Source organism: Homo sapiens, chromosome X, assembly GCF_000001405.40.
Source record: "Homo sapiens chromosome X, GRCh38.p14 Primary Assembly".
Lineage (NCBI taxonomy): Eukaryota > Metazoa > Chordata > Mammalia > Primates > Hominidae > Homo > Homo sapiens.
In genome coordinates this window covers 152,698,754-152,714,216 of record NC_000023.11, presented here as the reverse complement: position 1 = coordinate 152,714,216, position 15,463 = coordinate 152,698,754, and the positions used below count along the sequence as shown (strand labels likewise).

The window sequence follows — 15,463 nt, the reverse complement described above, 5'->3', positions numbered from 1 at the left end:
CTGACAAGAGGGGCTGAGCTGGATTCTGTGGTCCCACTATGTGGGTGAGGGTGGATCCTCAGTCCTCACTCAGGAGGGTCCTCTTCCTCACTCCTGGCTGTTTGATGAAGGAATGGGTGGGAGATGCTCTGTTTCTGTCACCTCTGAGCATCTGCGCATCTGCGCATCTGCACCCCTTGTAGAGAATGGCTGCGGGTGCCAGGCCAGGTGCTCCCTGCAGGGCAGGAGCTCCCGCGATGATAGTGACCTCTGGGAGAAGACGCACACCTTCCCACGGGGGCTCCTCCCCAGCCAGAGCTACACTTGGCAAACCTTTGGTCCTAAATGATTTATTCTCTGAATTGAAGAAATACGGTTTACATATCTTCTAAGTATATATGTAGGTAGCAATATATATATTTATTTCTATGAACTAACACCTACCCTTAGTATGCATGATTCACTCTGATATCCTAGTCTACTTCCATTCCAGTCTTTGTGTTCTGTTGAAAGAATTTTTTTAAAAAACATAATTCCTCTCCCACTCTGTTGGTTTCAGGTTGTTATTAGCAGAACTCTGGAGCCATGCTGCCTTAACAAACCCAATTTTCCTGGTGGACACTGCTATTACCTAGGGCTCTTGGCATCGTGTTTTCAGGGGCTGCCTCAGATTGTGCAATGAAGTGAAGTGGAAAATTCAAAACTTTTATTCTACCCATTCTTTCATCTGCCGTCTAGGCAGGCTACAAACCTCCCCAACATCTCTGCCGCTAACCCCCTCCAACAGACACTGCAAGTGTCACACACAAGTACCAGCTCAACACAGTCTCCAGTCTCACTCTGGGCTTTCCCTGTTTTGTTGTGTAGATTTTCTTGCTGATACTGGTGTTTTACTTTCTGTTTCCATTCTATAAATTTACAGGGTTGATTTGGGAAGCAGAGCACAGCAGCCCAAATTTGCTTGTAATGTCGGCGGCTACAGGTAAGGCACTAAATTGTAAATAATTTAAGCTGAGTTTACATTTTTACACTGTTGTGTTCCCCGTGAATGAATATGTTATACTCCTCTATGGATTTCAAGCTCTTTTTTCCTGAATATGTCAGTATACTTCGGTAGTTGCCTCTATAAACAACTTATACATTTTTATTAGGCTTCTATTCAGGTAATTCTTGGATTTTGTTGCTATTGCAAGTGGCATATTGTCTATCAATTGTTGTAGTTAGTTATTGCTTTCGTGAGGTGAAGATTTTGATTTTGCTGTAGTAATCTGTTGCATACCTCGTTCTGAAGGCCGATGCACTTGAATATTCCGCATACCTTTTCCTTTGAATTTTCAAGATCGATAATGGTATTATCACTAAACACTACATGTTTTTCCAATGTTCATACCACTCACTCATTTCGGTACTTACAGCTCTTTGTGTCTCAATCCTGATTTCAAATGTAGAGATAATAGGCTACATCTACTTCTCGTTCCTGACTTGAATGATAATTCTTCGAACATTTGACATTTAAGTATGTTTGCTGTTGATTTTAGGAAATGGAAGTTCTCTTTCAGTATAGGTTGCCTAAATATTTTCTTTTTTACCATGAATTCATATTAAATTTATTTAAAAAGCTTTTTCTGTACCCGTTGGCAGGATCAAATTTTTTTCTCTTCCATTTTGTATGTAAGGAATCACAATGAAACAGATGTTTTTTCTAATGTTAAATCATATTTTATTTCCTTGGGCAGAGCCTGTTTATTCGTTTAATGTACTACTAATTTATGTAGGATATTTACTGCTGTGTAAGAGAGCTTACTTGATGTGTTCTTTTTCCATCAGGGGAGGTATGTGGTCCTCATCTGGTTTTTAAATCCAGGAGGGCTAGCCTGGGAGAATGAACTGAACAATTGTCAGTCTTTTGTATGTTCTGGAAGAGTTGATATAAGGCGGTGGTTAGTTTTCCCTGATCATTTGGTAAAATTGGCCTCCAAAGCTGTCTAACCTGGAATGTTTGAGGGTGGCTTGAGCTTTGAATATTGTACAGTTTCTGTTGTATAGTTAAAGTTTTCTTTTCCTCTTTGGATCAGTTTGGTTACTGATTTATTTTATTTCTACAAAGTGGTCAGTTTCATTTAGGATTTCACTTTTAATGGCATATTTATGATAAAAAAGTTTTATTAGGGAAAGCCTTCACACATACAGAATAACAGGAACGAATATAATGAACCCAGGATACTTGATACCGAGCATGAACATCTTTAAATACACAGCAAATCTGGTTCCAGTTAAACACTCGCCTACCTGCATATGAGCTGCTGGAATAACGTGGAGTAAATCTAAGGCATTAGACCATTTCATCTCTAAATAACTTAATATGCATTTTTAAAAGATAAGGATTTTTTTAAAACAAAAAGCCGATAGTTTTCATATCTAAAAAATTAAATAAATGATTATCAAATGTTCAACTATGTTACACACTTATCTGGCCAACTTAAACTTTATAAAATATATATTTCTTTGATGGAGTACAAAATGTGTTAACTTTTCCCCCCACTTGCTTCATTGTGGTGGTTTCATATATCTATTATACAACTAGGTGTGTGTGTGTGTGTGTGTGTGTGTGGAACATTCTACCTGCCGTCCCGTGATTCTCCAACCTCTTAAGTTACTTTTAAACTTTACATACATTAAGCTTCACTCTTTGTGCTGTAAAGATCTATGGGTTTTGACAAATGCCTCGTGCCATTGTCTTAGTCCGTTTGGGCTTCCATAACAAAAATAGTGATAGACTGGGTGGCTTATAGACAACGCAACTTTATTTCTCACATTCTGGAGGTTGGGAAGTCCAAGATCAAGGTGCTGGCAGATTTCATGTCTGGTGGAGTCCTGCTCCCTAGTTCATAGACAGCTGCCTTTTCCCTAGATCCTCACATGCAAGAAGGGATAAGGGATCTCCGTGGAGTCTGTTTTATAAAAACACTAATCCCATTCATGAGGACTCTGCTCTCATGATCTAGTCATTCTCCAAATACCCCACCTTCTGCCTAATACCATCACCTTGGTAATTCAGCAGATGAATTTTGTGGCAACACAAATATTCAGACCAAAGCAAGCACGGAACCACCATTGCAGTATTATGCATACCAGTTTCACTGCCCTGATAAATTCCCTTGTGCTTGTCGGATAAACCCCATGGCCACCACTGATAGGTTTTTCATCTTTATAATTTTGCATTTTCCAGAATGTCATATAAATAGAATCTTATACTATGTAGCCTTTTTAGACTGGTTTCTTTCACTTAGCATAATGAACTGAAGAGTCATGTATAACTTTGTGTGGCTTGGAACTTATTCCTTTTCATTGAGGAGTAGTATCAATGTCTGGTTATATATATATATATATATATATATATATATATATATATATATCCATTCACCAAATGAAATACATTTTGGATGCTTCTATTTTTGGTGATTATGAAATAAGCTATTGTATACATTCATATACAAATTTTTATGTAGACATAAGTTTTCAAATCAATTGGGTAAATTGATTGAGTATGGCTGCTGAATCTTGTGCTAAGTCTATTTTCATTTTTTTAAGAAAACGCCAAACTGCCTTCCAAAGTGGCTGTGCCATTTTGCATTTCTACCAGCAATGAAGGAGAGTTTCCGTTGCTCCACATCTTCGCTGGCAATTGTTCTTGGTCTTGTATTCTTTGTTTTGGTTTTCTATGGATTTTGGACATTCTGATAGGTGTGCAGTGGTATCCCATTTTAGTACACAATTATCTAATGCCAAAGGGTGCTCAGTACTTTTATTATGCTTATTTGCCATGTGTATATCTTCTTTTGTGTAGTGTGTGTTCAGATCTTTGACTATTTTCATTTTTTCTATCATTGAGCTTTAAGAATTCGCATATATTGTAGAGACAAGTTCTTTATCACATATGTGTACCGCAGATGTTTTCTGCTAGTCTGTGGCTTCTGTTTTCATTCTCTTAACATTGTCCTTTGAAGAGCATAAGATTTTTATTTTAATAAAATCAACTTGGCAAATTTTTCTTTCCTTGATCATGCTTTTGGTGTTGAATTTAAAAACTCATCACCAAACTCAAAGTTATGTGGATTTTCTCTTATGTTTTCTTATAGAGGTTGTATTGTTTTTGCATTTTTCATTAGACCTATGATGTATCTTGAGTTAGTTTTCATGGAATATGTAAGGATATGTCCAGGTTATTATAATTTGTGTATAGGTGTCTAATTGTTCCGACACCTTTTGTTGGAAAACCTGTACTTTCACCATTATTGCCTTTGTTGTGAATCACCTGACTATATGCGTGCAGGTCTATTTCTGAGCTCTATTCTGTTTTATTAATCTGTGTGTCTATTCTTTGCTAATGCTTATGTCCTCCACCAAATTCATATTTTGAAGCCCTCAGCCCCAGGGTGTCTGTATTTGGAGATGAGGCTTCTAGGGAAGTGATTAATGTTAAAAGAGGCCATAAGGGTGGGACCTTGATCCCATAGAATTAGTTTGGTTATAAGAAGGGAGAAGAGACAGAAGAAAGTACTTTTGTGCCTACATGACCTTTCTCTCTCTCTCTCTCTCTCTCTTTCTCTCTCTCTCTCTCTCTCTCTCTCTTTCTTTCTCTCTCTCTCTGCACATGCACAGAGGAAAGGCCAAGAATGGACAGATTAATAAAGGGCCATCTACAAGCCACGAATAAGGCCATCACCAGAAGCCAACCCCGCCAGTCCTTGATCTAGGACTTCCAGACTTCAAAACTGTGAGAAAAAAAATAAATTTCTGTTGTTTTAGCTACTCACTCAATGGCATTTTGTTATGGCAGCCTGAGCTGACTTAAGACATAACTTCAGGTGACACAATTTTTTTTTGTTTCCTCCTAGAAAAAAAAAAAGTAATTTTGACATTTAAAGTCTGTAGTTCATTTTGAGTTACATTTCTGTATGGTGCAAGATATGTGCAATGGCTAGTACTATGTGTCAACTTGTCTAGGCTATACTGCTCAGCTGTGTGGTCAAACAGTAGTCTAGATGTTGCTGTGAAGGTATTTTGTAGATGTGATCAACATTTACAATCAGTTGATTTTAAGTAAAGCAGTTTAACTTCCATAATGTGGATGGGCCTCATCCAATTAGTTGAAGGTGTTAAGAGAAAAGACCAAGGTTTCCTGGAAAAGGAATTCTACCACAAGACTAACATAAAAATGCGCTGTGAGTTTCTAGCCTGCTGGCCTGCCTTCACTGTCCTGGGGGAGGCTTGGAGAGACCAGGTGGACTGGAGTAGACTGTTGAGAGACACTGGTCTGGTGAAGATGTCCAGGAAACCACGAGCCTCCAGCCCATTGTCCAACAACCACCCACCAACACCAAAGAGGCGAGGAAGTGGAAGGCATCCTCTCAACCCTGGCCCAGAAGCCCTATCAAAGTGAACGGCCCACCCAAGCTCTGACTCCTACCCTGTCCTCCCCTGGCACAACCCCCACCCCAGCCTGCACCATTTCTCTATGAAGCCCCTGTTCTCACCCCTCCTCCATCCTCTTCCCCAAACCAGTGCCCTTCTTTGATCTCCCTGTTTCCTTCTAGGTTCCCAAGACAACCCGGAAGGGAAAAGGGACCCATCAAGGAAGTTCCAGGAACAAAAGGCTCTCCCTAAAAGACCGCCGCTTCAAAAAAACCTGAGGAATGGAGTGGGCCAACACTATCCAGCCACTCTGACCAGCCGAACGAGGAACTCAATCAAAATGAGCCATAGCGGGACCACAAGGGCAAGGAGACCACCACCTTCTCCAGTCTCTCTTCGGACAGCCAGTAATTCCCGGGCAAGGCCAGAGACTTCAAGTCTATCTGAAAAGTCTCCAGAGGTCTAACCCCAGATAAATAGCCAACAGGGTGTAGAGTACATTTTACACCCCAAAGAGTGTGCCCCATGGTGATGAAAATAAAGTGAACATGTTGCAAAATGATGTGTGTGTCTGTGTGTCTCAAATGGTAGGGGTAGGGAGTAAGGGGAAAGAGGTGGGAGTGTGGGAAGGGAGGGGGGCATCCTCTACAATTTCTCTAATTCAACTTGCTCTTCGTTCTTTGGTTTCCTAGGGTGAAACTTTTGGTTATTGATTTTAGATTTCATTTTCTAATATAAACATTTAAAATATGCTATATATTTCCCTCAAGGACACACTTTAGCAGAATCCCACTTTTTGTATGTACATTTTTACTTTCATTCAACTTAATGTATTTTTAAAATTCTCCTGGGACTCCCTCTTTGACCCATAGGTTATATAGGAGCTTATTTTAAAATTTCCAATATTTGGGCATTTTTCAGATATCTTGGTGTTTGGTTTTGAGTTTAATTATATTATGGCCTAAGAAGAGGCTATCTATTATTTCTATTCTTTTCAATTTGTAAGCTTTGTTTGATGGCCCAGAATACCATCTATCTTGGGAGATATTTCATGCACACTTGAGAGGATTGTTTATTCTGCTATTGTTGAATGCGGTGCTTTTCTTATTGTTTTATTTAGTCAGAGTAGTTAATGGTGCTTTTCAGGTCATCTATATCCTTCCTGGTTTTCTGCTTACTTTTTCTCCTAAGTACTGAGAAACAAATCAAAGAGTTTTGAGAAATGTTTAGTCCCATGAAACCACAACCACAGTGAAGGTGAAAAATATATTCATCCTCCCCAAAAGTTTCTTCCTGTCTTCTTGTTGTCAAACCATCCCTTCAGTAGAAGTGATCCAAGGTGAGCAGAAGTGAGCATCCGCTGACCATGACCATTTTCCCTACTAACAGAGGCAGGTAGGCACAGAGAGCAGCAGTTGCTTTCACACACAGGCAGCATCCAGGAAGAAAACCAGATCGATAGTGTAATAGAAGGAGAGCTTTCTGGCCTGGACACAGGCTGTCGCTCCTTTTCTTGCACACTGCCAGTCCCCAAGTCTGGCTCTGCCTTCCTGGCTTCCCTGGCTCAGATGGGCGATTCACACCACCTCTTCATCTCCCCCGACTCCCTACAGACTGAATTAAGGGCCTTGCCACTTTCTATTGTTTTGTTGACTTGGTGTTTCCTCAGCATATATTGAATAAAAGTTTTCTGTAGGAATCAATACGTGCATGGAATGAATGAAATCACCTGGCATGGGAATTCTTTGATTCAAATTATGGAGTCTGCCCTTCCTGGGCCTCCTGCCTACATGAAGAAACCCACAGTTCCTTCACCTGTGCTCAGTTGAGTTCAGAAACCCTGTGGAAACTACCACGGAGAGGGTCACTGCAGACGCCTTCTCCCCAGGCCCAAACACTGTCATGGAGGTGAGGATGCTCCCAACAGGATGCTTCCTGTATTGGACCCCACACGTCCCCATCAGTTTAACAAGGAAAGCTGCCACCTGCAATGCCTTGCCATACAACCTGCTCACGTACACACCTTGGTCCAGCCCCCTACCCCAGACACTGTCATCTGGCAACATACGCCAGCGGTCACTGCCCTAGGACTCCTGTCCCGTTCTGTGCCAAGGGTTCAGAAGCCACAGAAGGCTATCTGAGACACAGTGGCCAACTGGAACATTTTCAAGGCACGTCCACAGCCAATCCTTCATCTGCAGAGTCTGAGCTGACTAGTCCCAGGGCACTCCTCCTCCCATTTCTCCTCCATGCAGCCCCACTGCCCCTTTCAACTGCTCATGGGCATTCCTGGCCTGTCTCGGCAGTTGGTCATCAGTCAGCAACCCACTCACATAGCCCAGCCTCTATAGAAGGTCCCCGGGGGATAAAACACCAGCCCCCAGCAGGCATGAAGACAGTTCCCACATCTGGGACGCTGGTGAAGGTACAAAGGACCACTGGAGTGTTCAAGAGAGGTAGCTGGCCCAGAATGACGCAGGGAGTCAGCCAAGCTCTTCCTGAGAGAGGGAAGGGGATTCTGAGGGCGGGAAGGTTGACCAGCACAGCCCTGGTGCATTCAGCCAACACTCAGATCACAGGGCCCCCTCCAGCTGGTGATGATGTTGCCGGGATTTCCCAACTCTATTCCTATTCATTGTCCTGTCCTCCCTCCTCCCTTCCCCCTTCTCTCCCTCAGGCCCCTGACCCCACCGGCCTGAAGTCTGGATTTAGAGCTCGGAGTGACAGCCTGCCTGGGGCTCTGTGGACTTGGTTTCGCATGTGGTCTCTCTCATGGACGCTAGCAACGGCTCTCCCCAGGATCCTCCCTGGATCCTCCCTCACGGGCTGAGGGTCTCCTGTCTGCTCTCATTACCTGGCTCCTCTTCAGTCTCACCAAATCCTTCTCAAAGCAGAGAAGAAATGTCCTGTCCACATTTCAGAATTTTAAATCAATTGTGATTTTTATGAGAATTTGAATTGGTACAGCACTTTTGTAATAACATTTTAGAAATATTTTAAATGTTAAACTATTTTCACCCTTTCACTTTAACCCAGTGTCCATGTTAATATATCCTTCTTATAAGAAAACCATGTTTGCCTAAAAATTCATATTCAGAGATGTTGATTTTATTGTAGTTATCATACAGCAAATGGGAAACAACTTATATGTCCACTAGGAAGAAAGAGTTTAATTAATTGTGGTGCATGTCTACTTTAGAATTATAGAAAGTGGTTTCAAAAGTGAGAAAGATCTATCTATCTATCTATCTATCTACCGTTGTGGAAAGATCCTACATCCATTTTATAAAGTGATAAAAGAATATCAGTATGTATATCATTGTTCTTGTATATTAAATAAAAACAACATATTGTTATAGTTTATCTGTCAGTGAGAAGCCTAGAGTCAGCAGTAAAATAATATACAACACCGTTAATTGTGGTGACCTCTGAGGGGGCGGTGGGGGTGGTGGGCGTTGTTAAATGTGGAGGAGATTTGTAAAGGGGAAAATTGTGAATTATCTACATTTCTATAAGTTTTGCAATAAGAATATGTACAATACTACATTTTAAATAAAAAAAAATTAAACCTGACAAACAGAAATACTAGCCATGTCAGTTTAAGTAACTGCTAGCCATTGCAACAGAACAACCACGAATGGCTTGCCACAACACAAGTTTATTTTATGTGCAAATAAGTTCTGATGCAGTTTGCCAGGGGCTCTCCACTCTCACGGGACCCAGGAATCCAAGCTGCTTCCACCTTGTGATTCCGTCATCTCAAGATGAAGCTGCCATGTTTGCTAGTGAAAGCGGAGAGAAAGCTTGGAAATGGCACACTGGCTCCCACATGCCTGGATGTGACAAACAATGCTTCTGCTCCTATATTGGTATAAAGGAAATGTCACATGACCCATCCTAACTGCAAGGACTTTACTGTTCCCATGTGTCCAGGAAGGAGACAGAGACAAAATGTGTGTGAGTACTATACCCTCCCCCATAAACTGTTACATAGTAGGTGCTCAACAAAAACAACTGTGATTCTTTGGTATTACACTACCCTTCTCATTTCTAGGAGGAGTTTCTGAGAAGGCCAAATTTGCCGTGACATTCTCCAACTTTTTCCAGTGTCAAATATGTAACTGATGTTTTCAAATATACGATCACAACTAACTGCCCAAGAATCTTGGAAGTCTCGGCGAGAAGGCTTCCCTTTGCAATACCCTTTAATCCTTAGTAGGCTGAGCATTTTTCCTCCATTTGATTCCCGGTCAAAATGTTAACCTGTGAATTTCTGCTACCCTCCACAAGCCTGAACACCTCTCGAGTGCCTGTAGGCACAATAAAGGCCAGTATTTTCCCGTGGAGCAGGTAAACAGACAAGAAACAGAAGGCTGCTTAATTATTCCTCTTTCATTAGAGTTGACATGTTTTCAAGGAATCGTTTTTAGACTCCTGGAGGACTCCAGAAATTTAGGAATTCAGCCTCAGTAAGTAGATGTTTGTTCCACTGGGATTTCCCAAGGTTTTTCTCATCTAGTACTCATGAGGGATGGTTTGCTCTTTGACCATTTATCTGTGCATGTATTCAGAGGCGAATTCCAAAAGGACGCCCTGTGAAAGTCTGATTTCAGGTATCAAGGTGGTTCCAAATTCCTCTCACTTCAGGGTGACATCACACAAGAACCCTTAGATAATATGGAGAAACAGACTACTCAGCCCTTTCAGAAAACAATTAGAGAGTGTATTGAAGACAACCGGAGTGGTAACCAGGTGTCTAAACGTCACTGTCCCCATGTGAATTTTTATATCAAAAGGATTGTTGATATCATATGGCTTCCTGGGTGAGAGACGGGACAGCCAGAGGACTTCTACTGTGAGAAGGAATGCTCCCTGTCAGGAGGTGAGCAGGGGATTCTGGGCTGTTCTGTGGGGACCAGTGAGGAGCTGATCAGCAGGCCCTATAGGTTCCGGAGTCAGACAGGACACATGGAAGTGACCCGGGGAAATGTGCTGTAATTCTGAAAGTGCTGGGGCTGGACAGAAATGAACACATCTTGCCAGTGTCAGCTCTCAGGGAACCCAGTGCACACCAGCCCCAAATGGTGTTTGATTCTCATTGTCGCGTTCTCCAGGCCTGCTTTATTACGCTGGCCTCGAGGTCCTTCTTTTTGTCACCTGAGAGACATGGTGCAGTGCTGAGAAGAAAAATGAAGTCGCTGTCAGGAGGTCAGCCTCGGGCTGGGAGAAGTGGGAACAGCATGGGCTCTAAAGGAATTCAGAACAGGGGTCGGGTTCTGCCCTGTTCCTCACTAGCCACGTGATCCTGGGAAATACCCAGGAAATACCCTGTTTTTATATCCCAATTCACACACCCTGTGAGCCTTGGATTCTTCATCTGTAAGCAGATGTGATAAGGACTGTCTAGTAGGACAGTTGGAGTGTATGCAACGCAGGTGAAGCACCTGACTCCGGGCCTGGTATAAATTAGAAGTTTAACAAATGGCGGATGGCTGTTATTTCCAATATTTTTTAACCCGAGGCCCTAACACTCCGGGATTTTGTTGTTGCTGTCGTTGTTCTCCAGGACTTACCAGAGAATATACAGCTCAATAGGACATGGAATAATTAGCCCCAAACAGAAGCTTCTTCCATAAAATTCAGTTAAGTATTTCCTCTCAGAGAACGCGCTTCAAAATTTGGGTGTGCAGGAGTTTCGCCCAGCCAGGTGCAGCTCGGAGCTCCTACAATCTGCGTCAAAAGACCAACTGCTTCTCTCTCTCCCAGCTGCTTTCCCACCCAAACCACCATTTTCATCCATTTTGTTACCATCCAAAATCTAGCCCGTGCTTACAATTGGTCAAATTGCACTTGAGATAACCTAGTTGGAATGCCTTTTTTAATGGAGTCAGCTCTGGCTCTCCCTGCCCGGCAGAAAAGCACCTGGCCAGGGGCTTCTGGGCCACCCTTCCTGGGAAATTCAGCCTTATCGCTCAGGAAACCCTTGCAGATGATGGGTGTCCATCACCTAGATCTTGGGCTGCGTTCAACAGCAGTGGGACAAAAGCAGACGACACCTTCCATTCCTGCCTGAGGTAGAGATTCCTCTCTGTTCATCCCCCATTCGAAAGAAACTGCTCAGAGTTGCTTTCCATTCCAGGCTTTTCTCCCACACTCTGAGAATCTGGCTCTGGGCCCACCCAACTTCATTAGAGTCAGCTCCTTCAGAAGGAACTGAAGTTTCCCAAAGCCCAAAATGCCCCAGCTCAGGGCACTGACACTCCACTACTCTCACCCGGAGCGCCACACCCTCACCCCTCTCTTACATTTCCTCTACATCTTACAGGACTTCTCACCACCTTAATTATATGACTGCAGGTCCTAGGCTCTACAGCCCTATGGGTAGGCGTGAGTCTGGCTTACCTTAGCATCCCCACTACTAACCCAGGGCCTCCCACAGAGCAGATGCTGAGTGAACGGAAAAGAAACGAGCCAGTGAAGAGGAAGAATTATTTATTCAGATTTAATTTCGCTTGCATTCTCAAAGAAGTCAAGGAAATCCTGGTTTGCATATTTGTTTAATTTTACAGAATAGATTGAGGTACAAGGCAAGAATCAACTATCTTTTGATTTCTTGAGTTATCTCATGTATGTTATTGCTAATTCGCTCACAATTTTAAGCAAATACTTTTACCACTGCTATTATTATGTCACAATTCACAAAATGGAATGGATTTCCCAATTTGAGTAAAAAACAAGACTCTTACTCCTAAACTATATAAACAGCACTATGTGTGACTACTGTCATTCATAAACCTGGATGCTGACGCTCATTCAACCATCCGTTAAAAGGAACATTTGAACAACTCCAACAGGAAACAAAGAATAATCTCAAAGTCATCCAACAGAACAGAAACCCACTACTAAGAATGCTGACTGCTCGCTTCAAAGAGTGAAGAATGGGCCTCACGTCACAGGAGGCAGTGGAAACTAAGGGATGCGGCCCCGGAAGGTGCACTGGCCCAGACCCCCTCCCACTGGCCCTGGCTGCAACTCGTGCTCAGACTCACTCTTCCCCCTCTCTCAAAACCCACTCATGCAGGGGTGGGTAGGAAATGTGAGGTCCTCCACTGATCTTTACCATATGGTGCAGGACTTTCACATAGCTGGTTTCAACGAGGGCCCTTGGACCCCACAGGAATTCATAACATGCAGGATCACTGCCGGGGACCTGCCGGTACTCCAGGTAGTTTTCCTGCACGAAATGTTGGGTGAGCAGCTTCTTGGGATCCCCCAAGATACTGTCTTCCCTCCCCTCAAACACCTCTAACACACTCAGCTCCTCCCAGATTTTCTCCTCAGGGGCACAGTCGCCCTCTCTTGCGATTATGGCCAGGACGATTATCAGGAGGCCTGCCTTGGGCATGATCTGATTGTCACCCAGCAGGCCATCGTAGGAGAGGCCCAGGCAGGTGGCAAAGATGTACAAGTGGCCGATGGGGTCCACTTCCATCAGCTCGATGCCAAAGACCAGCTGCAAGGAACTGGAAGCTTTGCTGAAGATCACAGGAAAGAAATACTGCCAATTTCCGACGACACTCCCCAGCATTTCTGCCTTTGTGACCGGCTCCCTGGCTCGATACTTGAGGAGCAGAAAATGAACCAACTCGGCCACCTTCCTACTGAGTGCTGCTTGGAACTCGGACTCCAGGTCAGGGAAGGTGCTTGGCCCCTCCTCTTCTTGGTTGCTGGAGTCCTCATAGGATTGGCTCCAGAGAGGGTAGTTCATGGTAGTGGGGAGGCTGGAGGCTCCCTGAGGACTCTGGGGAGGATCTGGTGACTCGGCAGCAGGCACCTCCCCCAGGGTGACTTCAACTAGAGTAGAAGAGGAGGAGGCAGCCTCCTGCTCCTCAGTAGCAGGAGCCTGCGCACCCACCAGGCCCAGGGCCTCTCCTCGGGCCTCAAGGCCTTCTTCAGGCTTGCAGTGCTGACTCCTCTGCTCAAGAGGCATGATGACTCTGGTCAGGGCAACAGGCGGGAGTGTGGGCAGGAGCTGGGCAATGGAGACCCACTGGCCTGGGGAGAGAGGGAGCATGTGAGAGACCTCAGCTGAGTACTGAATGGAACCTTGGAGGCTCTAACAAAGGCTTACTTACAGATCTTCTCCTTCAGTGCTCCTCCGGGGGCCTCTGGTCCTCCAGGTCAGCCTGTCCCCTCAGAACCTGAAGGAGGAAGTGAGAGGGCACCTCAGGGTACATCCGGCCAGCGCATGCTGAGGCTGCAGGACTGAAAGTATTGAGGGTGAGGCCAGGCGCTCTGGAGTCCATGTGTTCTGGGGCAGGTGGGGCCCTTGGTTTGAATCCAAGGCAAACCTTCACCGTTGGCACTATCTGAGCCCCCTCTACTCTGTGACCTGAGGACACTGCCTCAGACCAAGTCCTCACTGCCTTGTTCCTGGAGCTCCTGATTCCTGGGAGAGGAATCCACGGGCCCCCAATGTGCAGACAGCAAACGCAGCCACGGATTCCCAGAACTGTCAGGAGGGTTGGCCAGACTCTGTGAGGTCCCCACTCTACTGGGGTGGAGGATCCCCTCTGTGCTCACTCAGGGCCCTCACCTTTCTCCTTATAGGGCCTAATCCCTCCCTTCTGCTGGCCTGAGAATCTCTCATGTCAAGAACTCACATACCTGATATGGTACAGAAAAACATGAGGGGACCCACATCTGGCCATACATTCCCAGGTCCTCCCGGAAAGGACAACGAGAGATGTCCAAATTTATTGAAGTCCATGTACCCTGGGTGAGGAGACTGCTTGGTCCTCACCTCCACTCCTAGTAGGGTCTGAGAGCCTCCCTCTACTGCCCTGAGTGCAGCCCCCTCAGACCAAGGCTTCCCCTTCCCTGACATCAGTGATCCTAGGATAATGGAGGGACCTCAGCTGACAGCCCTGCCCAGGCTCTCTGAGGTAACAGCAGGAGCAGGGCAGATTTTTATGGGGCCCCCAGTCCGCATTCTGTCCCAGGGGTACCCTCAATCCTCCCTCAGTCTCTTCACCTGGATGCTTGGCAGATCCTAGGACCACTGCATCTGTCCACCACATAGGGGCCCCTTGGGGGTACACCTTGGGCCCTGCAGATCCTGGGATTCCTCCCTCTGCTGACCTGAAGTCCCACTCTTCAGACCACAGCCCTCAACTCTCTGGTCACCCTGAAGGCGCAATGAGCACAGAGCACATTTGGCCACTGTGCCCAGCATCCCCCAGCCCAAGGTTGCCACTGATCTGGACTCCAAGGTCCCCTCAGTCCTCCCTCTTCTTCCTCCCCATGACTCCTCGCAGGGCTGGGCCCCAACCCCCTGCTGAAGTGGGTCTGCATCCCTAGGATTCCCGTAGCCGAATGAAAAGGTGCCTCGGTTTGAGACAGGGGTACAGTGGGCCCCCTGTCCTGGCATGCTGGGTCCCCTCAGGACTCCACTGTCTTCCAGGAGGGCCTGGGCCCTTTCGCTGCCTCCCAACGGCCATACTCGCGATACCGAACCCCTTCCCTCCCTTAGCCGTAGATGTGAACCTCAGGACTCACGTGCCTGGCCGCCATTCCCGGAGCTTCCGTGACTTGATACCAGGGGCAAAGCCCGGATTCTGCCAGGATAGGGGTGGGGGTGGGGATGGGAATGGGGAATGGGGGATGGGGGTGGGGTTGGTGTTGGGGGACGGGAATGGTGGTGAGGGTGGTGGTTAGGCTGCCCTCAGTTCCCTCTCGGGGTCCTGACCTTGATTCCTGCCACAGCGTGGGCCCTGACCTCTTCTAACCAGCCCTGCCCTGGCCACATTAAGCTCTGTCCCCAGAGTTCCCCGTGGCTAAAGCGGCGGGGGTCGGCGGGGTGAGGTAGTGGCGACCCAGCCTGGAAGTCTTCCCCTGCGGGGTGGCCCAGGCCCGGCAGCAGAGGCAGCACTGGATTATTTGAGGCCCTCTGTCTGAGGTGAGGCCCGCCTCAGTCCTCCCTCAGCGTCTTACCTTGCCTCCTCACCGAGCCTGGGCCGGCTTCCCTCCGCCGACGTCAGGCCGTCGCTCGTTGCTCAGGGCGAGAATC

The 15,463-nt window shown here is 45.7% G+C and overlaps 2 protein-coding genes and 1 long non-coding RNA gene across 8 annotated transcripts; 2 read left to right on the top strand and 1 right to left on the bottom strand.

Moving 5' to 3' along the window:
- Nucleotides 1–413: 413 nt before the first annotated feature.
- On the top strand, nucleotides 414–4,787 carry LOC124905224 (uncharacterized). The gene is made up of 2 exons (XR_007068348.1): nucleotides 414–961; nucleotides 4,642–4,787. It is a non-coding gene; the product is annotated as an uncharacterized LOC124905224 (long non-coding RNA).
- Nucleotides 4,788–4,825: 38 nt separating this feature from the next.
- On the top strand, nucleotides 4,826–5,956 carry CSAG2 (CSAG family member 2). 2 transcript variants are annotated; one of them, XM_017030023.1, is made up of 2 exons: nucleotides 4,826–5,367; nucleotides 5,577–5,956. In XM_017030023.1, exons 1-2 carry the CDS (start codon nucleotides 5,105–5,107, stop codon nucleotides 5,644–5,646), a joined length of 333 nt encoding a protein of 110 aa, XP_016885512.1. In that variant the 5' UTR covers nucleotides 4,826–5,104; the 3' UTR covers nucleotides 5,647–5,956. The 2 variants fall into 2 exon arrangements, with proteins under 2 accessions (XP_016885512.1, NP_001382263.1); NM_001395334.1 differs by having other exon boundaries at nucleotides 4,944–5,418.
- Nucleotides 11,870–15,423, bottom strand: MAGEA3 (MAGE family member A3). 5 transcript variants are annotated; one of them, XM_011531160.4, is made up of 4 exons: nucleotides 15,388–15,423; nucleotides 14,953–15,011; nucleotides 13,530–13,595; nucleotides 11,870–13,449 (listed from the first exon to the last, which is right to left on the bottom strand). In XM_011531160.4, the coding sequence occupies exon 4, from the start codon at nucleotides 13,382–13,384 to the stop codon at nucleotides 12,440–12,442; it is 945 nt and encodes a 314-aa protein (XP_011529462.1). In that variant the 5' UTR covers nucleotides 13,385–13,449; nucleotides 13,530–13,595; nucleotides 14,953–15,011; nucleotides 15,388–15,423; the 3' UTR covers nucleotides 11,870–12,439. The 5 variants fall into 5 exon arrangements, with proteins under 5 accessions (XP_011529462.1, XP_006724881.1, XP_005274733.1 ...); XM_006724818.3 differs by lacking the exon at nucleotides 14,953–15,011 and having other exon boundaries at nucleotides 15,143–15,423; XM_005274676.4 differs by lacking the exon at nucleotides 14,953–15,011 and having other exon boundaries at nucleotides 13,530–13,659.

Coding starts and splice junctions, on each gene's coding strand:
- MAGEA3 (XM_006724818.3), bottom strand. CDS start 13,384: ATGCCTCTTGAGCAGAGGAGTCAGCACTGCAAGCCTGAAGAAGGCCTT.
- CSAG2 (NM_001395334.1), top strand. CDS start 5,105: ATGTGGATGGGCCTCATCCAATTAGTTGAAGGTGTTAAGAGAAAAGAC. Junction 5,419..5,576: donor GGCCCAGAAGCCCTATCAAA/GTGAACGGCCCA, acceptor GTTTCCTTCTAG/GTTCCCAAGACAACCCGGAA.